General features: G+C 37.3%; 1 long non-coding RNA gene across 6 annotated transcripts in view; it reads left to right on the forward strand.

Annotated features, from left to right (window-relative positions):
* Nucleotides 1-26,704, forward strand: part of MEF2C-AS1 (MEF2C antisense RNA 1) — a 584,252-nt gene that overhangs the window by 314,274 nt on the left and 243,274 nt on the right. The window contains exon 7 of one of the 6 annotated variants that reach the window (NR_136219.1): nucleotides 6,364-6,449. The exons of the other annotated variants lie outside the window; for them this stretch is intronic. This is a non-coding gene — a long non-coding RNA (MEF2C antisense RNA 1). The remainder of the gene's footprint in view (nucleotides 1-6,363; nucleotides 6,450-26,704) is intronic. 6 annotated transcript variants of the gene reach the window in all.

Raw genomic sequence — 26,704 nt, forward strand, 5'->3', positions numbered from 1 at the left:
GGTTTTGAGTGAGTTTCTTAATCCTGAGTTCTAATTTGATTGCACTGTGGCCTGAGAGAATGTTTGTTATGATTTCCATTTTTTTGCATTTGCTGAAGAGTGTTTTACTTCCAATTATGTGGTCAATTTTGGAATAAGTGTCATGTGGCACTGAGAAGAATGTATATTCTGTTGATTTGGGGTAGAGAGTTCTGTAGATGTCTACTTGGTCCACTTGATTTAGAGCTGAGTTCAAGTCCTGAATATCCTTGTTAATTTTCTGTCTCATTGATCTGTCTAATACCGACATTGGGTTGTTAAAGTCTCCCACTATTATTGTGTGGGAGTCTAAGTCTCTTTGTAGGTCTCTATAAACTTATTTTATGAATCTAGGTGCTCCTGTATTGTGTACATATATATTTATAATAGCTCTTCTTTTTGAATTGTTCCCTTTACTGTTATGTAATGCCCTTCTTTGTCTTTTTGATCTTTGTTGGTTTAGTCTGTTTTGTCACAGACTAGGATTGCAACCCCTGCTTTTTTTTGCTTTCCATTTGCTTGGTAAATATTCCTTCATCCCTTTATTTTGAGCCTGTTTGTGTCTTTGCATGTAAGATGGGCCTCCTGAATATAACACACCAATGGTACACAGTACCCACTTCATACTAAAGATGTAAGTGGGTACACAATACCATTATAGTATCAGAATATTTTGACTGTGACTGTGTACTTACTATTGACAGTTAGTTTTATAGTTTCTTATGTTTTTGGATTATCAGTTAGAGTCATTTGCTTTCAGCTTGAAGAGAACTCTTTAGCATTTTTCTAATACAGGTCTGTATTAGAGAAACTTCCTCAGCTTTTGTTTGTCTGAGAAAATCTTTATTTTTCCTTCATTTCTGAAGGACAGCTTTACCAGATACAGTATTCTTCGTTGCCAGTATTTTCCTTTAGCACTTAGAATATAACCACTCTCTCCTTGTCTGCAATGTTTCTGCTGAGAAATCTGCTGTTAGGTTTATCAGAGCCCCTTATATGTTATGTAACTCTTTTCTCTTGCTTCTTTTAGGGTGCTCTCTTTGTCTTTGACTTTTGATGGTTTGATTATATCTTGGTTTAGTCTTGTTTGGATTGAACGTGACTGGACATCTTTGACCTTCCTTTACCAGAACATTTGTATCTTTCCTCAGATTTGGAAAGTTTTCAGCTATTATGTCTTTTTATTTTTATTTTTGTTTGAGACGGAGTCTCACTCTGTTGCCCAGCCTGGAGTGCAGTGGCATGATCTCGGCTCACTGCAACCACTGCCTCCCAGGTTCAAGCAATCACCTTCCTTAGCCTCCCAACTAGCTGGGAATACAAGCACACACCATCACCTGTTTCTAATTGTGGTATTTGTGGTAGAGACAAGGTTTCAATATGTTGGCAAGGCTGGTCTTGAACACCTGACCTCAAATGATTTACCTGCCTTGGCCTCTGAAAGTGCTGAGGTTACAGGCATGAGCCACCATGCCCAGTCTCAGTTATTATGCCTTTAAGCAAGCTTTCTATTCCTTTGTTTTTCTCTTCTCCTTTGTGAACTGCTATGACTTGAACATTTGCTCTTTTAATGCTGTTCCATACATCTGTCTTTACTTCTTTTTCATTCTTTTCCCTTTCTGACTGTATATTTTCAAGTAACCTGTCTTTGAGTTCACAGAATCTTTCTTCTCCTTAATCAATTCACTGTTAATGCTCTCAATTGCATTTTTTATTTCATGCCCAGCCTCTGTTATTATGTCTTTGAGTAAGCTTTCTATTCCTTTATTTTTCTCTTCTTTGTGAACTGCTATGACCTGAACGTTTGCTCTTTTAATGCTGTTCCACACATCTATCTTTATTTCTTTTTCATTCTTTTTCTTCTTTAACTGTATATTTACAAGTAACCTGTCTTTGAGTTCACAGAATCTTTCTTCTGCTTAGTCAATTCACTGTTAATGCTCTCGATTGCATTTTTCATTACATTTATTATATTTTTCAGTTCTAGAATTTTGATTTTTAAAAATAATTTCAATATCTGATAAATTTCTCACTTTGGTCATTCATTGTCTTTCTAATTTTATTGAGTAGTTTATTTTTATTTTCTTTAAGTTTTCTGAGCTTCTTTAAAATAATTTTTCAAGTTGTCAGACCATTTGTATATCTGTATCTCTTTGGGATCAGCTACTGTGAGATTGTTATGTTTTTTCAGTGGTATGCGTCCTAATTTTTTATGTCTCTTGTTGCCTTACAGTAATGAGTACACATTTGAAGAAGTAGGGATTTATTTCAGTTTTTGAAGACTGGTTTTGCCTGAGAAAGGCTTTCACTAGTCAGCCTGTCCAGGGATTCTGGGCAAGTTGTATGGCATGTTTCAAGATTGGGACTGCTCTTGAATTCGTTGAACAGATTAGTGAGAAGTCTGGGACAGCTGGAGAGCAAGCTGAATTCCAGTGTCACTGAGCTTAGCTTGGCACTGGGTTAAACCCAAAATCTGGGGCTACTGCAGTTGGCCTGGTGTTGGGATGGGCCTGGAGACCAAGATTTCAAGGCTTGCCTGGAGCCAGGGCTTATGGGATCTGGCCTGGGGCTGGGTGGGCTTGGAGACTAAGACTGTGGATACTGGCCTAAAGTTTGAGGCTGTAGGAGCCTAATCAGCACTGGGTTTTACTGGATTGGGCCTGGCATTGGAATGCAGGGCAAAGTCTGGTACTCCTTTCTTTCTGAGCTATGCTGCCTGTGGTTGGGAGGGGGTGATGTGGGTAATGTAAAACTATCTTTTCTGCCCTATTTAATGCATCTTTTCTTATTTCGGTGCTACACCTAGGTGCTGTAATCTCTAACCTGTTTTCCTTAGCTCTTGTGAAGGTATTTTTTGTGTATGGATAGTTGTTCAGATTGATGTTGCTATGCGGGAATGAATGCTAGAGAGTCCTATTCTGCTATCTTCTCAAAATGTTTTAATCATGGCTTTGCCCATTTTCTAGCTTTGTGGCTGAGGGAAAGAATCTTGCATTTTTGAGACTCACTTACCGCGTCTATAATTGGGAATACAAATAATAATCCATAATTTACAGAATTATTAGAAAACAAACTAGATGACATATGTAAGCTAGACACACTTTGATTTCTTAATTAAAATAAAAAAATATTTTGTTGGCTTTCAAACTAAATTTTGCTACTCAACCTTTTTATTCAAAAATAATCGTGCATACATATACATATATACCAATCGAAAGCAGTATATTACTATAATAATTTTAAAATTAAAAAGAAAAGTTTTTTGAAGGTAAACAATGAACAAAATGTGCTTGCTGTGATGAAAATAAAAATGGAAAAAAGTCTCAGTCATAACAAATTGTTATTGGGGACATTCTATGCACCAAGAATGAGTCATCTCTTTAGATTTCCTTATAGTCTTAGAGGCAGTTACTGTTAGCGTAATAATCCCCATTTTATAGGAAAGGCAGTTGGGCATAGATACTCAAATTTATTACTCTAAGTCCCACATAAAATGGAGAGTTACGTTTGAAACTAGGCACTGTGCCCACTATGCCACTAGAGTCTGGTTTTCAGCCACTAGACTCCATGGCTTCAGCTGCCAGAGTCTTGGTAGCAATCTTGACACAAAAATAAGTATCAAACTGGGGGCAAAAACTAATTTTCATGAAATCTCTGAATACTATTTAACTATATTAATTTGAATAATTTAAAGGAGGTTACTAGAATATTTACTTCTCAATGTTAAACTACTAAAATATCAATGATTTTTCACTTCCTTTAAGTGACAAAGTTGAATGTACATTGATGTATTGATTTATTGCAATTTATCAATTAATTCATCCATCCAAAGGTGTTTTTGAACATGTGTTAAGTGGTAAGTCAATTTAAATCTTTATTGCTTGGTGAGAAATTGTTTTCAAATATAGCTTGAAATATAGTGATATTTTGAGTGAAATTAATATTTTTTAGTAATTATGTCCAAAGTTAAACCTATTATTTTATTACTGAAATTCTATATGAATCCTAAGCATGGTAAAGGGGTGGTTCTTTATTACCCTAGTTGAGCTCATTAAGCTCATTTGAGAGATGTTTAGCTATTGTGTTTTCAGATTAGGAAAATTTAGAGAACTGATTTCTTCTTTCATTTAATGTATTGAAACCATCACCTCACCGTGGGGCAGCCACCTCACATGGAACGCCTGTATTAAAAACTAAACTTCAGAATTCAGTGCTTAAATCATTACAAATAACACCGAAAGGTTTGGCTTAATAAAACTAGGTTTTTATGACAAGATCCCACAATGTCTTGCAAAATACTGACAATTGTATAACAAAAAGGAAAATAGGCTGGGCATGGTGGCTCATGCCTGTAATCTCAGCACTTTGGGAGGCTGAGGCAGGTGGATCATTTGAGGTCAGGAGTTCAAGACCAGCATGGCCAACATGGTGAAATCCTGTCTCTACTAAAAATACAAAAATTAGCTGGGCGTGCTGGCACACGCCTGTAATCCCAGCTACTCAGGAGACTGAGGTGGGAGAATCACTTGAACCCGAGAAGCAGAGTTTGTAGTGAGCCGAGATGGTGCCACTGCCCTCCAGCCTGGCCGACAGTGCGAGACTCCATCTAAAAAAAATAAATCAATAAATAACAAGGAAAATAATGTGCACAGCTTATAAGCAAGTAATTTGGAAGAGGAAATTTATCCTACCCCAAAACTTGTTTTTTTTCATTAGGTATCTGATGGCCTTGATCCATCAGAAATATCTGTCTTATCTAGATCAGTCTGTTTATTCATCCTAATCTTCTATCACTTATCTGAACTTGAGTTCTGCATGTTAGCCCTTATTTATGATCTCTTGATTACTTTGAATTGCTTTTATATGATTTTTCTTGTTCTATGTATCCACAAAGTTAGCTTTTGTACCCTTCATTTCTTCCTTCTCTGTGGCCCCCTGCATAACTGTTATAAGTGGTTCTCAAAACGGAGTATCCACAAGAATCATTTGGGAAACTTATAAAACATCTCTAGCTTTCTAGATTCCACCTAGGGAGGTTCTGACTCTATTGATTTGGGCTTTGTCCCAAGAATCTGTATTTTCAAAATGTGTCCCATTAATTCTGATGCCGTTGGTCCTCTGAGGACAATTCTGGGAATTTTTTGCTGGAGGGAAGGTATGAAAAAGTAAGTTGGTATATTGCAGATATGGGTATGTGGAATTTCCAACACTGGAAATATATTGCAATGCTATGACTTCAAACACTTACAAAGATAAAGTGAAATGGTTTTTTATGGGGGCAAATTTCTTCTAATTTGGGCACCTTGTAAAATGGAAGAGATGCATAAAAAACTGAGTATGAATGAACATGATGGTTTCTATGTTAGTTATAAATGCAGATGTTGTACCTTTTTATCCAAAGATACTTCAATCAAAAATATTCGATAGCCAGTATCCTAACTTTGTTTCTCAGTCTGTCTGTGTGTAAATTTTCTCTTCTGTTTATTCCGGTCACCCCCTCCCCTGGAATGACTAGTGGAATAATTGGCTATGATCTGTGATATTATAAAATATGTATTTGGTCTTCATTCCTGTTTTCTGGCATATGATTCCTAAAATCCTTGGAATCGCCAAAGTGATGGTGATGTCTTCTTGTATGTTAATGAGTTGACTGATTTCTAGCAGCTTCAGGATGGCAACTGGTCACCAGAAGGACCAAGCCATGATTAGAGGATTGGCACTATCAGCTCCACTCCCCACTAATCTTCAGGGTGGGGAGAAGGGCTGAAGATTAAGTTGATTACCAGTATTTAATGATGTAATCAACCTACATAATAATGTTCTATTAAAATCCAAAAGTTCAAAACTTCAGAATAGCTGAGCACATGGAGGTTTCTGGAGGATGATGTGCCTGGGTGGGGACGTGGGGTGGGGCGGGGAGCTGGAAGCTCCTCACCCTATCCATCTCTTCATCTATACACTTTGTAATAAACCAGTAAACATAAGTGTTTCCCTGAGTTCTGTGAACCACTCTAGCAAATTAATTGAATCCAATGAGTGAGTCTTGGGAACCGCAATTTATAGCCTGTCCATGAGAAACACAACAACCTGAGGCTTGGATTTGGCATCAGAAGTTGGGGCAATCTTGTGGGACTAAGTCCTCAACTTGTGGGATCTGAAACTTTCTCCAGGGTAGATAGTGTCGGAATTAAATTGGAGGATACCCAGCTGGTGTCCACCACATAATTGATTGCTTGCTTGGTGTGTGGGGAAAAATCTCCAAACATTTGTTCACAGAAGTCTTCTGTGTTGATTGTTGTGGGGTGAGAGCAGAGGAAAAGCAGACTGTTTTTTTTTTCCTCATAGAGACTCCATGAAGGAAAAAGTATAGTATTGATGAGGAATACCTTGTTATATTTCAATAAGGATACATGGATTCTATATCATATAAGGTAAGATACTGATTCTATTAGGCTTTCAAAATTGGTATAAATTTGGAGATATCATACTCTTAGGGCCAGTTAAATATCATTTTTTTAAAAAAATTTCTACCCTATTTTGTTTCTTTTTACATAGCTTCTTTCTACATATTTTTGGTAGTTTTAAACATTTCAAATTTGACATGAAAGTCATGTGTGTGTATATATACATACAGACTTTATATACAAAGTTTATATATATGACTGTGTTTGTTTACATTATAGTATATTGGAATGCTCAGGTGAAGTCAAATGAATATGACTGAAGAAAATCTCTCAAATATCTGTATTTCCAAGGACTATTAACATAAAGATTAATTTAGAATTAAATGAAACCAAAGCCTCTGTAACTCTAAAAAAACAAAAGGTTTTCTAAATAGCAAACAACCATATATTTATTGTTTGAGTCAATTTTATCATAGGTTGCTTTGATGTATGTCATTAAAACCTATGAGGAAAATTTTGAAATATGAATTAGATGAGAGTCTACCTAATAAATGCCCAAGAAGCATCTCCGTTCTAATAATTTTTAAAATTAAGCTAGACATTTTGTCCTCTCTAGTAATGGAGAAAATGTTTAATAATTTTAAAATCAAACTGAGTAGGATGAGTTTATCTGCTCAGTGAGGAACATTTCTCTTGTTATAATTTAGTTGAAATCATTTTTATAGATATTGGAGTTCCTTCACAACCACAATGTCTTTTTTTTATGTTGCCTTTTGGCTTTTATTCTGAGGCAAACCTTTTTTAATTTAAACATGATGTGTTGTATTTACTTTGAATGCCAATACATTGTGTATTACCCACCAAGTGATCTTTTTTTTCTGCTCTTCAGAATTAAATAAACCAAGACACAACACATGTCTTAAAACCACAATAGTTTATTTATAAGAAGAAAGACAGCCCATCAAACTTTCCACAGGAATTTTAAAAATCCATCAGGGACTCAAAGCCTTTACTTTCTTTCCATTCATATAATTTTGGTTTTGGCTTAACACTTAGGACAATATTCACTTCAAAAGAATATCCCTTGCATTTTAAGTAAACAATCATTGTTCTACATAGACTTTTAATTTTTCCTCTTCTGCCCTTTGCCACTTTTCTACTTTGGTTCCATAACTTTGCTAGCATTGCATCCAGAGCATGCCAGATATAAAATCCTTTTTCAGTTTATATTTTGATATGAAGACTAACTCATGAAAGATCGAATTGTTACATTTTGTTTCATTTCCAATTATTCTTGACGTCTATAGTTTCTTAACATTTTAAAATGATACTTTGATTATAGGGGATGAGATAGGACAAAATAACTGCAATTAGAATGAAATCGATTCTGGCTTTAGAAAGGAAAATTCAGTTTAAACATGATGCAAGGCAATGAGGTTTCATTTGGTTCAAATTTTGTGGGACTGGATAAGCTAAAACATATGATCTAGGGTGGCCTTAGTCTCATCCCAAGTGGATCTCATCAAGCAACTTCAAACCTCACTGCAAGAGACATGGTTACTGATGATCAAGTGTGGGTCAACAACAAATATTTATAAATTGCAAAGTTCTATCTTGTTCTTCTGTGTCAATAATAAGTTTACAAATTGTAGATTTACCTGTTTAATTGTTAAGGGTATCTGGAATATGTAAAGGTTCTCTCTTTCTCTGGCCCATTGAGGTCATAAGCAGTTGAAAATTTACTTCAACTTCACAGTTATACTGGAATCCTGAAACTTGCCTTTCATACTGATAAGTTGGTTCTCTCGTTTTCTGGCCCATTGAGGTCATAAACAATTGAAAATTTACTTTAGTTTCACAGTTATAGTGGAAATCCTGAAACTTGCATTTCACACCAAAAAGTCATATTCAGCAATGTGTGATACTTATTATATGTGATATGTATGATAACATATTTTTACCACAACTTAAGGACTTGCAAAATGAAGAACAAGTGCTTTTATGATGAAGATATAAAAAGCCATAAATTTGCTTCAAATAAACTTATTGTGGACAGTGCTATACTAAGTAGTGGCCAACGCACAGTCTTGGCCCTTAGACAGTTGACAGCTTTTCAGCTCTTCTTTTTCCCTGTAAGTAATGACTTATAAAAGTCCTGATATATAAGATATATACAGGTGTTCCCTATCTTACTTAAATGTTCTCATCCCAGAGACCTTTGCAAAATAATCTTATGTGCATTAAAATGTGTAATTTATAACTCTATATATTATTATAGCATATAAATATATGAATACATACTTACCAGTTAAATATTTTCAGTTTTAGTGTCATATATATTCACAGATGCTTTTGCTATATAGAAGTGCTGTCTGTGTGGTATTAATATTTTCCCAGTGTGTTCTAAATTAACACATACTTATGGACTGGTCTTGCCCTCTTGCTCTCACTTGATCTCTCTCAACTCGTGATTATAATGCAATATAAGGGAGGTATGAAAACTCCAGATATGATTAAAATAACAGGTGCTTGTACAGAAAGAATTCATAAGGCACAGGAAGAAAAGGACTTCTTTGTGGCAAATATTAATTTTCTGCAACTTTGCTCCCTGCTGTTTGGGCCTGCAACCAACACCTTTGTATTTCCTGGAAAATCCAATATGTTACACCCAATTCTCTATCATATGCAGTGGAGTTCAGTGTTTAAGAACTCAAACTCACTATTATGCCACTTTCCAGCCTAGTGTCCTCAAGCAAGAAAATTTACCTATTTGCCTTCTGGTTTTCTCACATGAAAAACTGAATCTAAGAAGTATACATTTTCACAATTAACTTCTCTGAGTTTAGGTGGAGTATTGCAATAGATGCAATATCATAATTTAATTGGTAACACCTTTTTTCTTGGTGCTACATTCCATGATGGCATGTATAACAATCTATATTGTTTTAAATGTGAGGAAGTATGATAATTATTACTCCTTTATAGGTTGTTGCTGAGAACTAAATGAATTAATGTAAACAAGGCATTTAGTAGAATGACTGGCAATAAGTATTGGTTATCACTATATTTGCCCGATGGAACCCATTGCTTAAGCTTGAGTCTGTGAGAGGGGGTGTTGTGTGTCTCATTAGGAGGAAAAAACAGTTGTGCTTTGGTCTCTGTTATAAAACTCAGTGTGGAGGTGGGGAGAGGTTAATTGCCTTGGCTTCTTCAGTATATTCTAAGCATCCTAAAACTAAGAAGTGAGTGTTCTTTTTTAAATCAACTATTAGACATTCATGAATGTGGTTCATATTCAATAAATGTTTGTGAAGCATATGACCCCTTTCTTGCTTAATTAATCTTTTTTGTATTGGCAAAATAAGTTTTAAAGTGTCTTACCACTAGTGGTTGGAAAATAATTACTGGCTTACATGTGTAATGCTCAATAAGTAAGCATTATTTCTACTTAGTCATGGTTTCCTAACCCTCTTACAAATACTCTCTCTTTAATAAACACATTTAAAATTTTCTTCTACTAGTTTGATACTTGTGAAACTGTTACTGAATAATTGAATATCAGGCTGGGCACGGTGACTCAACCCTGTAATCCCAGCACTTTGGGAGGCCAAAGCAGGCAGATCACTTGAGGTCAGGAGATCGAGATCATCCTGGCTAACACGGTGAAACCCTGTCTCTACTAAAAATACAAGAAATTAGCTGGGCGTGGTAGCGAGTGCCTGTAATCCCAGCTACTCAGGAGGATGAGGCAGGAGAATTGCTTGAATCCAGGAGGCAGAGGTTGCAATGAGCCGAGATTGTGCCACTGCACTGAAGCCTGGGAGACAGAGTGAGACTCCATCTCAAAAAAAAAAAAAAAAGAATATCAAATAGATTCACTTATAAATTATCTGAAACTTTTCATTAGACCTCAAGTAGAGAATCAGATCCACCTTAATGATTAATGGGTGCCTTACAATTGTTATAAATCTTCAGTATATATGCACACTCATATTGCTTCTCTTTCTCTCACCTTCATCAAAGATCGGGGAATGTTGGGCAATCTTACTCCCTGTTTCACCATTTATATGGCATGCCATTGCATCTATTGCTTCCACATGATTCTTCCAAGAAATTGCTCCAGTACAAACTTCTCCTTAAAGAGAAGGCAGCAATTCCTTCAGTGCATCCAAGATAGCGCGCGCGCGCGCGCACACACACACACACACACACACACACACACACGCACGCACCAGTCATTCTGCAGACTCCTTCTGGATCTAAAGGTGTTACTTTTCAGCAAGCCAGGCCTTAGATGATTAAACTGGACTCCAAGCAACCCCAAGCTTGAAAAAATGAATGAAAAATTAATGAAAATAATAGATTGAGATGGGAGAGGACACTCTAATATGTTTGGCCATGAGGATTTGATAGTTTCTAATTCTACATCAGGGGTTAAAACAAACATTTTCAATAAATGTCCAGTTATTTTAGGCTTTGTGGGTCATATGATCTATGTTGCCACAGCTCAACTCTATTGTAGATCAAAGGCAGCCATAGACTACATATACAAATGAATGTAGCTGTGTTTCAATAAAACTTTATTTACAAAACCTGTGGGAGACAAAGGGCCAGGCTTGTCCTTTAGGTCATCATAGTTTGTTGACCCCTGCTCTATAGAAAGACATTGTCTCAAAATTTTAATGTATTTATTATAAGATATTAAGCATCTATTATTTGCTTACTACTATAATTTTTAAAACTTCCCAAACTACTTTTGTTTTCCCATAAGCAAGACTCCAGCTCTTGTTTATCTTCCTACTTGACTCACAGTTGAATGTCTTATTTTGTACCCATGGTTGTCTGTTTTCTCCATAACAAGCATTTTCAGATAAAAGCTCGTTCACTTTATATTGTGGATGCATTAGAGCCTCAGATAGATCTTGAGTGAGTAACATGCATATCTGATGTGCTCATTGGAAAAATTGGACTTAACAAAGTGAGGACAGAGAAAACAGACGGTGCCATTGTGCTAAAGCACCCTTTTCATATGTGAATGGATTTCCTGACTCTTTCCCTGCACAGCTGTAGCCAGAACACCAAGGAATTGTGCCCTCCAAGTTGTGTCTTGTATTGGAGGTCATAATTACATTTTAAATTGGGATAGCTAGAATTTTGTCTCACTCATTATGCTGTTTTGTTTTTCTTTTTCCTGTGCAGAGGTCCTTATTATCCCCCCATTGAAATAAGATCAGTTTCCATTTCTTGCTAAGATCCTTTATTTCACCTCAGAAATCACAATATCCAACAGGGGGCCCAGAATAGGTGTTCAACAAATGTTTGTTGAAATAATTAAAACAGTTGTGTTATGCAAGGCCACTGAGGCTTTCCCTTGCCTCTTACTTATAGACATAATATCTTGGCGTTAGGCATAAATTTCATTTTTTACAGATACATTCAATATGTTCGCTGCAGTCTTTTGTTCTTCCAACTGGAAAGATAGCAGCAAATTTGCTGGAGCATGTTTTGTTACATCCCTAAAGAATGTATAATCACTTAAGACTTTAATTTTTCCAAAGAATTACAAATCACTATTTTCCTCTCTGAACAAGCTATTGGCTCTCCTGAAAACATAGACAATACAATATTATAATTTTTTAAAAGTTAACGAAACTTATTTTTGTTCATGTAATATATAGTAAAGCATTATGTATATATATATTTCTTTTTCTGCCTACTACTGTTTATGCATTACATGCTAGTATTGTTTCTATGATTAGATGTTTTTCAGGCATTTGTCTTAAATTAAATTTCCATATGTTTAAGGCAGTGACTTGCTAACGCAAAACTTTGGCATTTGCATGTATTTTATTCCATTGCAAAATTCTATAGCATCTGTAATTATTTAATGATCAAAACAGTTACTTGATCTTGTCAATATTGCTATTTCTAACTAACATATGAAAATGGAGATGTCCTTTTTTCTCTTTCACATATTATCACATGAAATTGAAAAACAGAGTAAAAAAATTTTCATTCTTAAGTAATTATTGCTTATCATCCCAACCTGAGAAGCATTGAGCTAAATGGAGAAATGCTACTTTTCCAAAGGCAAAAATTCAATTTACAATTAGCATTTGGAATTCGTCTGATAGGAAAATGACCTGGAAATTAATAATACATCTCTAGCAGGAGAGAAGAAGAGTCAAAAGAACTCTGGGCCTTCCCGATCTGGTAACTATTTGTATTCTAGTAGAATCAACCTATGAGAGAGTCTGTTAAGACCCTATAACACTTTCCGTAGGTTTAGTAATAAAAATAACACCATACTTCATCAATCTTGAATCACATCTTTACACATTTTATCTAACATCATTTTAATCATGATGTCCTTTATGGTCAATTGCACTTTATATTAGATGAAGTGTAGTATTTAAAATATGACAATTACCATTTATTGAGCATATATTATGTCTAAGCCACTGTTTTAGGCTTTTTACAAAAAGTATGTGTTTAACCTTGTGAGATCTTAAATACCAGAAAGTAGGGATTCAGAGAGGTGCATAACTTGCCTAGAGTCATAAGCCTGGTAAGTGGCAGAACTAAAATTCAAATCTGGATCTCTATGACTCTTGACCACTTGACTACATTGCTGACATGGAAGAGGAGAAAAAGAAAGATGACTATGTGGATATAAGGGTGTACCTCAGAACCAAGAAAAGCAGATGGAATTAGACCTCAGAAAATGATGGACCAGGAATTACAACTACGTCAGGCTTTTCTTAGCTTTCTCTTTGTTGTATCTCTTTCTTCCTGAACCTGTGCTTTCTTATTGCTTTCTGCATGCTGCCTTTCTCCATTTTGTTATATGGCAGAAAGTTTCCCTTTACACATCATCCAAACTATTTAAAATAGCCTGGCTTCCAATATCTATGGAAAATAGCTGCCCTGTACTAACGTGAGAGTTGGGCTATACTGCTGTCAATTGCAAAGAGTTTCCAAAGAATGAGGAACTGTTAGATCATGGAATGGATTAATACTCCAAAAGTTGTAGAGTCACACATTAGTGTGATTGAGATATGTTCTTTTCCTATGTTGGTTTGAAACGCACACAATTCACAGGACTGCGTATATTTGGTTCTTACTTTGAAACAAACCAGTTTCCTTCAGGTGCTGCTATAATCTGAATGTTCGTGTCCTCCCAAAATTCATATGTTGAAATTGTAACCCTTAAGGTTATGGTGTAAGAAGTGGAGCCTTTAGAGGTGATTAGATCACGAGAGCAGAGCATTCAGGAATGAGATTAGTGCCCTCATAAAAGAGGCATGAAAGAGACCTCTCATCCCATCCCTTCAACCATGTGAGGACACAGTGAGAGGGTGGTTACTATGAACCAAAAAATTGTCCTTCACCAGACCTGAATCTGCCAGCACCTTGATCTTGACCTTCCCAACCTCCAAAAGTAGAAGAAATAAATTTCTGTTGTTCATAAGCCACCCAGTTTATGGTATTTTGTTATAGTGCCCAGAATGGACTAAAACAGATGATGTATGCAGCTAACTTTTGGTCCAACTAGCCTTGCAGTTCACTCCCTGACTTGGATGTGTACACATGGTTTCCTCACTATGCCTTCTAATATTTAAAGTAATATCTGCCAATAAGTAATTTTTAAAACTAGTGCTATCTATTTAGAAGAAGCTGATATAAAGTGAGAGAAACTTCCTGGGTAATGTGAAACTTAAATCAAACTTTGAAAGGTATATAGAGTTTGGGTGTACAGAGAAGGGAGACACTAGTTAAGGGAAAGAGCAGCCTCATTGGCTGAAATGGGGATATAAAAAGGCTTAGTATAGCAAGAAAGAAAATAAATAGACATGGAAGACTTCATTTTAAAGAGACTTGAAAATCATTAGGAAGTTAGTGTGTAACAAATCGTGGAGAACTGTGACACAGACCACATAACTATTCAACAAATTTGTTTCTTTTTGTTCCTGGAAAGATGATAAACTACATTGCCAAACTCCTTTGCAGATTACGTGGCTGAATGACTTATTCTTGCCAATGGAATGTGGTTGGGAGATCTGGTTCATAAAAACCTCTGGTGTAATCTTTCACTTTCTCCCTTTCCTATTTGCTGATTTGATTTTGGTGCCCAAGTTGAAAATGGCAGAACTTCTAACTGTCTGTTATCACCATATGGAACAGAGGGCCTTCCCTCCTTTCAATTGGAATTTGCATGAGTGAGAAATAAACTTCTATTGGGATAAACCGTTCAAAAGGCCATTGTAGGAGCTACCTAATACAAACAACTAATGGCCCAAGCTAAAGTGCTCAATTTTCATCTCATAAATGTGACGGGGCTTTTGAGTAAAAGGTCAGCAGGATGAAATAAATGTCTTCTAAGACCAGTTTGGCAAAATGGAGCTGGACAGGCAGAAGAAGAGACTGGGGCCAAAGACTACACAGAGGACATTTATTGAAAAAGCCCAGACAGAGGAGAACCAAGGGGATAAAGTCATACAAGGACAAAGGAACAGAAAGTTCCGTATAGTGAATGTGAAAGTTATCAAAATTTCATTGATGCCAAAGGGCTAAATCTTAAGAAAAGGTCCAAGAATTTGATGGTGTAGAGGCCAGTGATGATCTTTGAAATGTTCATGTATGTGGAATAATATAGTGGTTTAAGGTGGAAATGCATAGTGTCAGGAAAAAACTAATTAGGCAAGAAGGTGGTTTTTTGTTTGTTTGTTTGTTTTGTTTTATTTTTTTGGAGAAGGAGTCTCACTCTGTCGCCCAGGCTGGAGTGCAGTGGCATGTAGTTAGCTCACTGCAACCTCCACCCTCCGAGTTCAAGAGATTCTCCTGCCTCAGCCTCCCGAGTAGCTGGGATTACAGGTGCCTGCCACCATGCCTGGCTAATTTTTTGTATTTTTGGTAGAGATGGGGTTTCACTATGATGGCCAGGCTTGTGTTGAACTCCTGACTCGTGATTCACCCGCCTCGGCCTCCCAAGAAGGTCTGTGTTAATTTAAAAATAAAATTTTGTATGGTAAAAATCTAAATTGATTAATAAGTAAATAGCCAGTGTATGGTTTCAACAAGACTCTATGAGGGTTGGACATTATAAAGCACTCTCCATTAGTCCCTGCCTTACTCCATGATACCTGGCACTAGTGGATTACGGTCCTCCTTTTCCTACTGAGATGATCTCAGAATTCTTCTCAAAACCATGCTCTAGGTAGCAAGTTCCAATTCATTGGAGTTGGTGACTGAAGTAGTACCTTTTCTCTATCTGTGTGCTTTAGGTAATTACATGGATTTTGCCATTCTGAGGATTAGGGAGGAGACTGAGAAGTAGTACCAATACAACTTACCTGTACATGCCTAAGTTGTGTTGGAAGTTTCTCAGACCCATGGCAGTGAAAATTCATTATAATTCTGCACTCATTTTTTGTCTATGGGGCCTCTTTCTTATATCGATTTTCTCCTCAATTGGTATCATTATTATGTGATTGTCTTTCAGTATTATGCTTTAGGGTCACTCGGTTCTTTATGATTGTCATAAATATTATTTAATGATAACGTTTGCATACAATCTTTTCTTTTTGTTAAATCCTTAAGCATGCTGTACTTCATGTAGTTCAATAGATTAAAGGAAAACTACTTGAACTCTTGTGTCAATTTTTTTTTCTTTTGCCTTTCAGGGATTCTCTGTCTGGGACTTAGTCTGAGCTGTAGGCTTTGTGCCAGCTGGAAGCTGGACTGATTTCTGTGAGTGGAGCCACAGCCCTCATAAGTTAGTGTAGCATTACAGTGGTTTTCTGTTTCCCATTAGCTGTTTAAGAAGAAGCACTCAAATGTGATCAGCATTTTGTAACTTAAGTTCTGAATAACATTGGTAGCCCCAAGACCAGTAATAGCAAGATGGAAAGCACAGTAATGGTATTTTCTGCAGAAGTATGTATGTATATTACTGCTTACATTTTGATTGGGTCAAAAAATCAGAAAATTCTTGAATGGAGTTTATGACATGAAGGTGTTTAAAGACTCTATGGGAGACAAAATATAACATCTATTTTGTTTATAGTTGAACATTCTTAGTTAAAATATAATGAAATGAGATAATAATAATAGCTAACATGTATTGAGTATTATGTGTCAGGCACTGTTCTAAATATGTTTTATGTGTTGTCTTATAGACTATCTAGCAACTATCAATTTATCCTAGAGAAATTACTAAACTATATTAAAAAGAAAACATTTAAAAATTAATATTTATGCTTAATAATATGCATAGAAATTTAAGACTATTGGCTCTCACTTAAATATAGCCCTAAAGGATCCTAAATTACTGGATCTAGCTCATTAAAATCACGGGGCTCTTATGACTATCTGTCATTTTTCTCTGTCAGTGAGTCTCATTTTCTTTGTGTGTGTATTTTTTTCACACTAGCTGTGGGAATTAAGGAATAATAATTATCTAAAGAAAAATATCTTCATTAAAGAAATATGTTAATAATTATCATCAAGAGAAATCTTATCTAAGATTCAGAGCTATTTTTTGATCTTTGAGTCTATATAGATATTTATTATTTGAAAAATAAACATTTAATAATACATTTATTCTGATACTTCTTAAATGCTTTTACAGAAAGAATAAATACACAGGTTTTGTTAAATGATTTTTTGCAACTAGTATTTTTGTCTTATATGAAGAAAAGCAAAAAAGCCTAGGTTTTCAATATATATTCTTTCTTTTTTAATATTCTCATTTTTAAGAATTGCAATTCTTCCTGTTGTCTGGTGCTGCATTTTATATACTTTTTCTCTTGGAATTAGTAGAAGTGATATTTTTATGGCATTTTTATATGCATAGGTATCTTTTTTCTGATTTATATAGCTATATATACTTGCTTAATTTTAACTAAGTTTTGTTTTTTGTTTTTTTTTTTTAAAGATAGTGGTTCCTGGGAAAGTTAACCTTCAAAATAATGTTGAAATGACATACTAACCTTAAGAGAATAACACTTTGTCTTAAATACATGTAAAATTCTGAGTGGGAGGTATACATGAATGTAGGGCTGTGTTTCAAGTTTCCAGGCACTGTTTGAGAGGGCAGGGAAGGTCAACTGCTGTCTCCACTATCCCAGTCCAAGCCAAAGAACAGCCTTTCTTTCTTGGAAATTGTAACTTTTCATTCTAACTTGGTTTATATTAGTGCAGATTCATACAGTGCTACTGGGAGTCACATCTTCCAAGGAGATCTTACATTATTCTAAAACCATAGTTGGTTCCCTCCTTGTGTGGGTCAAATGTAGCAAAGATGGTTTGGATAGCAACTTCTTAATTATATTGCAGTGCCTTAGGTAATTAGATATCATAGACCAGTACTTCTCAAACTTTAATGTCTATATGGATCACTGGGGGAACTTGTTAAAATGCAAATTCTGCTTCAGTAAGTCTGGAAGAACCTGATATTCTGCATTTCTAGTAAGCTCCCAAATGATGTCAATGTTGCTGATCCATGTTTTGCACTTTGAGTAGCAAGGCCTTAGAGAATGATAAGCAAGAAGGAAAAATGGCCTTAACTTGACTCTTGCTCGACAGTGGGCATCTTCCCTGACTCTACACTTTTCATTGATTCTGGACTTCTAGTTTCTGGTTCAACATGCTGGTGGTCCTATTCAGGGCTTTCACACAAGCTCTCTGATAAAAAAAATATATAAAGTCCCCACTCATCACCTGGCTCATGATCATGCTTGAATCTCAATCTATGCATGTTTTCCTGTGGGAAAACATTCATTCCCTTCAAGCTGGGGCTAGGGATTACCACAGCACATCAATGGCACTATTAATAATCATTTCACTTGTATATACTTGGGCAATGTCTGCTTTTCCCATTACATGATGATGACGTCCATGACACCAGAGCTTATATCTATCCTTAGAACTTCCTTTAGGTGTTGGCAATCAAGTCATCTGCCCTGACTATAACCTCAGAAGACTCTTCTTTTGGAGTGACTTCCTTGAAATTTATTAAGTCCCGCTCTTATATCTGGCACCTATCCAGATTCAAGCCCAGACGGGAATGTTCATGGGTCCAGTCCCTGTTTCACTTCTTTGGGCAGCACTCTTCAACTCTACACCAGCCCCTACATACATTAGCCAACTCTACACCAGCCCCTACATACATTAACCAGATGCTAGGGTACTAGCTCTGGGACTTGCATCTATAGGGTCATCCTGGGGTCCCAGGCCAAGCTGCTTCCAAAAGGGAGGCCTGGCAAATAGATTCTTCTCATTGGCCAAGTGGAATTTCTTTTTCTGAATCTTGTGATTTGGGACTGCCAGAATGGTGCTGACAGTGCCGATTGTGGGTGATTCAAATTGTTTATATAAATAGGGCCCTGCAAGAAGAATTTTTTAAGGTCTAAACACTTAAGAGTGGTCCTGTCCATCTGATCATTGATGTATTCTTAGGTACCCCAAAATAAAATGAATAACTAATAAATTGTATAATATAACAGGATCTAAGCACTAAAAAAAAGTGGAATGGGGCTGAGAGTTGATTTTCATTTGGCAGCTGCTAGACATGATCTTGGACTCTCAAGGTATTCCTGGCCACCAGGTAAGACAAGTAAAGTTATGATGCAAGCCACAAATATGACAATCCCTCAAGATGCATTGTTCAGATGACACTTTCAATTTTAACTACAGTAGAGCCCAACCTCACATTTCTACGGAGGTTTCAGCATTTTCTTAACTCATTTTCTGTTGCATTGATACCACAATGTGTGCTCCATATGTGAAAGTAAAGTTAAATCAAAAGCTGCCTTTTCACTCCAGAAATCTGTACTTACTATATTGGGCTATAACTGTGATATCGGAAGGTAAAACTACATGAGTAATACAATCTGACATGCTGAATCATAATTGGGTGCAAAATAAATACACTGCTCCCAAAAATGACGCCTAAAAGATCATTCTTAACCAACATCTTAAGCTATTGATATTATTTTGGAATTTTTTTCACTTTTAACCTAACTTTAAACCATGTGCTTTATTTTTCTCTTCCAGCCTAGCAGGAGTGAAGACCAAAAGACAACTATCATGTTTGGGATCACTTTTCCAACAAGGAGGTTTCTGAAAGACATGACATTTTCATTGGAAGTCTCACAGTTAAAGAAATATCACTGAAAACACATTAGACTAACAGTAGGCCCAGCTAGATTCTATAGCCTTGGACAATTTTGGATGGGCAAAGCAAGGCAATTCGTTGGGCCTCAGTTTCCTCATTCATAAATTGAGGCTGAACTAAGTTATTGGAGGGGTCTTTTCTGTTCCAAAACTTGTGAGACAAAGTCCTTCAGATAATCATTTATATTTTCTCAGCCACTGCAGGCTTGGTTTCAAGACTGTGATCCACTAAGGTCAGGAGATCGAGACCATCCTGGCTAACATGGTGAAACCCCGTCTCTACTAAAAATACAAAAAATTCACTTGGTGTGGTGGCCGGCGCCTGTAGTCCCAGCTACTCAGGAAGCTGAGGCAGGAGAATGGTGTGAACCCGGGAGGCGGAGGTTGCAGTGAGCTGAGATCGTGGCACTGTGCTCCAACCTGGGTGAAAGAGCAAGACTCCGTCTCAAAAAAAAAAAAAAAAAGACTGTGATCCCAGTAAAATATGAAGCCAGGGTTGGGTGGCCACTTCATAAAGCAGTTCTGTGGGGCCTCTTTGTCTCACAAGTTATCTTTACATTGGATGACACTGAATTAGGAGTTGAAGTGAACTTGGTTGGATTTGGATACTGCTCTAAAAGTTAGAAAATTAGGTCATTTGACATTTCTGCTCCGTGTTTTGCCATGTTTGGTTCCTACATACTTTTGCAAAGATCAAGGAAGACCTCTGAGGCATCTCTTTATCTCTTATTTCTATTACTATCACCCCAATTCAAGTCATCATCATTACCCTGGACTTCTGGGATAGCTTCCCACTGTTCCCACTCATCTACTCTTGCTCACTGCCTTCCCCCCAAACCCCCTAAAATTCATTCTCCAGATAGTGACTAGAGTGAATCGACTATATCTTCTCTTTTCCTGCTCTGGATATAATTTATATCTTTTCCTGCTCTGGATATAATTTATATCCTTCATTCTCCATTTCTGTGCCCCTGTGTGCCAACTGCTATTGTCTGCATTAGATGGACTTCCTTATCTTCTGGCTTCTATTGAATTTGGTGAACTGGGGAGGGTCAAGTAGGAGATCAGTGTGTGGGAGAAGAAAGAAGTTTGAGTATTTATCACCTAGGAAGGGGGACTTCCAGGACACTGTTTGGCAGGGATGCTGGGCCTCTACTGGAGGCCTAGTTCCGACTGTGTTGCCCTCTCCTTCAGCTACAGTTACAGTTATAGTGCTTTCTAGATTCTGGGAACTCCTCCCTTTCCTGCTCCTTCAGGCCTAGGAATGGTAATACTTCCTAATTGTTGCCAAGTCTAGTGTATTTTACAGTCCTCTATTTTTCCGTTTTAACCTTACTGTTATCTGAGTAGGTCATCTCCTTCCTGCCAAGTCATTAACTGGTACAGGAGGGAGAAGGAGAGAATTCACATACCATAAAATTCACCTTTTTGCAGTGTATGTGTCATCGGGTTTTGGTATATTCACAAGGTTGTAGAACCTTCACCATCTAAATTCAGAACAGTGTAATCAACCTGAAAAGAAATCCTGCATCCATTCCCAGGCACTCCTCATTTCCTTTTACCCCACTGTCTGGAATCCTCTGCTCTGGATATTTCATATAAATGGAATAATACCATATGTAGACTTTTTTTTCTTATTTTTTGGTTAAGCACAATGCTTCAAGGTTTACCCATGTTGTAGCATGTATCAGTACTTAATTCGTTTTTATGACCTAATGATATTCCATTGTATGTACGTAAATATGTGTATATATATATATATATATGAACACACATATACACACACAATGGAATGTATGTATACATGTCACATTTTGTTTATCCATTAGTTAGTTGATGGACACTTACGTTGTTTCCATGTTTTTGCTATTTAGAATAATGCTGCTATAAACATTCATGTACAATTTTTTTTATGAACTTTTGTTTTCAATCCTCTTGGGTATATACCTAAGAGTAGAATTGCTGGTTTGTATAACTCTATGTTAGACTTTTTTTTTTTTTTTTTTTTTTTGAGATGGAGTCTTGCTCTGTCGCCAGGATGGAGTGCAGTGGCACAACCTTGGCTCACTGCAACCTCTGCCTCCTGGGTTCAAGCAATTCTCCTGCCACAGCCTCCAAAGTAGTTGGGACTACAGGCACGTGCCACCATACCTGGCTAATTTTTTTGTATTTTAGTAAAGATGGGGTTTCACCATGTTGGCCAGGATGATCTCGATTTCCTGTCCTCATGATCCACCCACCTTGGCCTCCCAAAGTGCTGGGAATACAGGCATGAGCCACTGAGCCTGGCCACTCTATGTTAGACTTTTTGAGGAATTGATAAACTGTTTTCCATAGTGGCTGGACCATATTACATTTCACCAATGTATGAGGGTTATAATTTCTCCACATCTTTGTCCCACTGATTATTTTCTGTGCTTTGTTTTATTGATTATAGCAATCCTACTCAATAGACATTGTGGTTTTGATTTGTGTTTCTCTAATGACTAATAATGTTGAGCATGTTTTCATGTACTTATTAGCTAGTATAACTTATTGGGAGAAATGCCTGTTCAAATCTTTTGTTCACTGATTAATTATCTGTCTTTTTATTGTTTAATTGTAAAAATTGTCTCTTTATTTTTGAATTATAAACATTTTATTTCATTCTGTGTTTTTTCACTTCCTTGATGGTATGCTTTGACACATGAAAATTTTCTATTTTGGACCACCCAAGATGGCCGAACAGGAACAGCTCCAGTCTATAGCTCCCAGCGTGAGCGACACAGAAGATGGGTGATTTCTGTATTTCCAACTGAGGTACTCAGTTCATCTCATTAGGAGTTGTTGGACAGTGGGTGCAGCCCACAGAGTGTGAGCTGAAGCAGGGTGGGGCATCGTCTCACCCGGGAAGTGCAAGGGGTCGGGGGAGTTCCCTTTCCTAGCCCAGGGAAGCCATGACAGATGGTACCTGGAAAATTGGGACACTCCCGCCCTAATACTGTGCTTTTCCAATGGTCTTAGCAAATGGCACACCAGGAGATTACATCCCACGCCTGGCTTGGTGGGTCCCACACCCACGGAGCCTTGCTCACTGCTAGCACAGCAGTCCGAGATCAAATAGTCAGGCGACAGCGAGGCTGGGGGACGGGTGTCTGCCATTGCTGAGGCTTGACTAGGTAAACAAAGTGGCTGGGAAGCTCGAACTGGGTGGAGCCCACTGCAGCTCAAGGAGGCCTGCCTGCCTCTGTAGACTCCACCTCTGGAGGGAGGGCATAGCTGAACAAAAAGCAGCAGAACCTTCTGCAAACTTAAACGTCCCTCTCTGACAGCTTTGAAGAGAGCAGTGGTTCTCCTAGCATGGAGTTTGAGATCTGAAAATGGATAGACTGCCTCCTCAAGTGGGTCCCTGACCCCTGAGTAGCCTAACTGGGAGACATCTCCCAGTAGGGGCCAACTGACACCTCATACAGCCAGGCGCCCTTTTGAGACGAAGCTTCCAGAGGAAGGATCAGGCAGCAACATTTGCTGTTCTGCAATATTTGCTGTTCTGCAGCCTCCGCTGGTGATACCCAGGCAAACAGGGTCTGGAGTGGACCTCCAGCAAACTCCAACAGACCTGCAACTGAGGGTCCTCACTGTTAGAAGGAAAACTAACAAACAGAAAGGAATAGCATCAACATCAACACAAAGGACATCCACACCAAAACCCCATCTGTAGGTCAACATCATCAAAGACCAAAGGTAGATAAAACCACAAAGATGGGGAGAAACTAGAGCAGAAAAGCTGAAAATTCTGAAAACTGGAGTGCCTCTTCTGCTCCAAAGGATCGCAGCTCCTTGCCAGCAGCAGAACAAAGCTGGATGGAGAATGACTTTGACGAGTTGAGAGAAGTAGGCTTCAGAAAATCAGTAATAACAAACTTCTCCAAGCTAGAGTAGGATGTTCAGCCCCATTGCAAGGAAGCAAAAAACCTTGAAAAAAGATTAGACAAATGGCTAACTAGAATAAACAGCACAGAGAAGAACTTAAATGACCTGATGGATCTGAAAACCATGGCACGAGAACTATGTGATGCACACACAAGCTTCAGTAACCAATTCAATCAAGTGGAAGAAAGGGTATCAGTGATTGAAGATCAAAGGAATGAAATGAAGCAAGAAGAGAAGTTTAGAGAAAAAAGAGTAAAAAGAAACAAACAAAGCCTCCAAGAAATATGGGACTATGTGAAAAGACCAAATCTGCGTTTGATTGGTGTACCTGAAAGTGACAGGGAGAATGGAACCAAGCTGGAAAACACTCTTCAGGATATTATCCAGGAGAACTTCCCCAACCTAGGAAGGCAGGCCAACATTCAAATTCAGGAAATACAAATAATGCCACAAAGATACTCCTTGAGAAGAGCAACCCCAAGACACATAATTATTAGATTCACCAAGGTTGAAATGAAGGAAAAATGTTAAGGGCAGCCAGACAGAAAGGTTGGGTTGCCCACAAAGGGAAGCCCGTCAGACTAACAGCAGATCTCTCAGCAGAAATTCTACAAGCCAGAAGAGAGTGGGGGCCAATATTCAACATTCTTAAATAAAAGAATTTTCAACCCAGAATTTCTTATCCAGCCAAACTAAGCTTCATAAGTGAAGGAGAAATAAAATTTTTTACAGATAAGCAAATGCTGAGAGATTTTATCACCACCAGGCCTGTCTTATAAGAGCTCCTGAAGGAAGCAGTAAACATGGAATGGAACAACTGGTACCAGCCACTGCAAAAACATGCCAAATTGTAAAGACCATCAATGCTAGGAAGAAACTGCATCAACTACCGAGCAAAATAACCAGCTAACATCATAATGACAGGATCAAATTCACACATAACAATATTAACCTTAAATGTAAATGGGCTAAATGCTCCAGTTAAAAGACACAGACTGGCAAATTGGATAAAGAGTCAAGACCCATCACTATGCTGTATTCAGGAGACCCATCTCATGTGCAGAGACACACATAGGCTCAAAGTAAAGGGATGGAGGAAGATCTACCAAGCAAATGGAAAAAAAAAAAAGCAGGTTTTGCAATCCTAGTCTCTCATAAAAAAGACTTTAAACCAACAAAAATCAAAAGAGACAAAGAAGGCCATTACACAATGGTAAAAGGAATCAATTCAACAAGAAGAGCTAACTATCCTAAATATATATGCACCCACTACAGGAGCACCCAGATTCATAAAGCGAATCCTTAGAGACCTACAAAGAGACTTAGACTCTCACACAATAATAATGGGAGACTTTTAACACTCCACTGTCAACATTAGACAGATCAATGAGACAGAATGTTAAAAAGGGTATCCAGGAATTGAACTCAGCTCTGCACCAAGCAGACCTAATGGACAACTACAGAAGTCTCCACCCCAAATCAACAGAATATACATTCTTCTCAGCACCACATCACACTTATTCCAAAATTGACCACATAGTTGGAAGTAAAGCACTCCTCAGCAAATGTAAAACAACAGAAAACATAATAAACTGTCTCTCAGACCACAGTGCAATCAAATTAGAACTCAGGATAAGAAACTCACTCAAAACTGCACAGCTACATTGAAACTTAACAACCTGCTCCTGAATGACTACTTGATAAATAATGAAATGAAGGCAGAAATAAAGATGTTCTTTGAAACCAGTGAGAACAAAGACACAACATACCAGAATATCTGGGACACATTTAAAGCAGTGCGTAGAGGAAAATTTATAGCATTAATGCCCACAAGAGAAAGCAGGAAAGATCTAAAATTGACACCCTAACATCACAATTAAAAGAACTAGAGAAGCAAGAGCAAACACATTCAAATGCTAAGAATGTGAGCAAACACATTCAAATGCTAAGAAATAACTAAGATCAGAGCAGAACTGAAGGAGATAGAGACACAAAAACCCTTCAAAAAATCAATGAATCCAAGAGCTGGTTTTTTGAAAAGATTAACAAAATTGATAGACCTCTAGCAAGACTAATAAAGGAGAAAAGAGAGAAGAATAGAATAGATGCAGTAAAAAAAAATGATAAAGGGGGTATCACCACTGATCCCACAGAGATACAAACTGCCATCAGAGAATACTATAAACACCTCTATGCAAATAAACTAGAAAATCTAGAAGAAATGGATAAATTGCTGGACACATACACCCTCCCAAGACTAAACCAGGATGAAGTTGAATCCCTGAATAGACCAATAACAAGGCTCTGAAATTGAGGCAATAATTAAGAGCCTACCAGCCAAAAAAAGTCCAGGACCAGACGGATTCACAGCCGAATTCTACCAGAGGTACAAAGAGGTGCTGGTACTATTCCTTCTGAAACTATTCCAATCAATAGAAAAAGAGGGAATCCTCCCTAACTCATTTTATGAGGCCAGCATCATCCTGATACCAAAGCCTGGCAGAGACACAACAAAAAAAGAGAATTTTAGACCAATATCCCTGATGAACATCGATGCAAAAATCCTCAATAAAATACTGGCAAACTGAATCCAGCAGCACATCAAAAAGCTTATCCACCAAGATCAAGTTGGCTTCATCCCTGGGATGCAAGGCTGGTTCAACATATGCAAATCAAGAAATGTAATCTACCGCATAAACAAAACCAAAGATAAAAATCACATGATTATCTCAATAGATGCAGAAAAGGCCTTCAACAAAATTCAACAGCCCTTCATGCTAAAAATTCTCAATTAACTAGGTATTGATGGAACGTATCTCAAAATAATAAGAGCTATTTATGACAAACCCACAGCCAATATCTTACTGAATTAGCAAAAACTGGAAGCATTTCCTTTGAAAACTGGCACAAGACATGGATGTTCTCTCTCACCACTCCTATCTGACATAGTGTTGGAAGTTCTGGCTAGGGCAATCAGGCAGGAGAAAGAAAGAAAGGGTATTCAGTTAGGAAAAGAGGAAGTCAAATTGTCCCTGTTTTCAGATGACATGATTGTATATTTAGAAAACCCCATCGTCTCAGCCCAAAATCTCCTTAAGCTGGTAAGCAACTTCAACAGTCTCAGCATACAAAATCAATGTGCAAAAATCACAAGCATTCCTATACACCAATAACAGACAAACGGAGAGAGAAAT

Source organism: Homo sapiens, chromosome 5 (genome assembly GCF_000001405.40).
Source record: "Homo sapiens chromosome 5, GRCh38.p14 Primary Assembly".
NCBI lineage: Eukaryota > Metazoa > Chordata > Mammalia > Primates > Hominidae > Homo > Homo sapiens.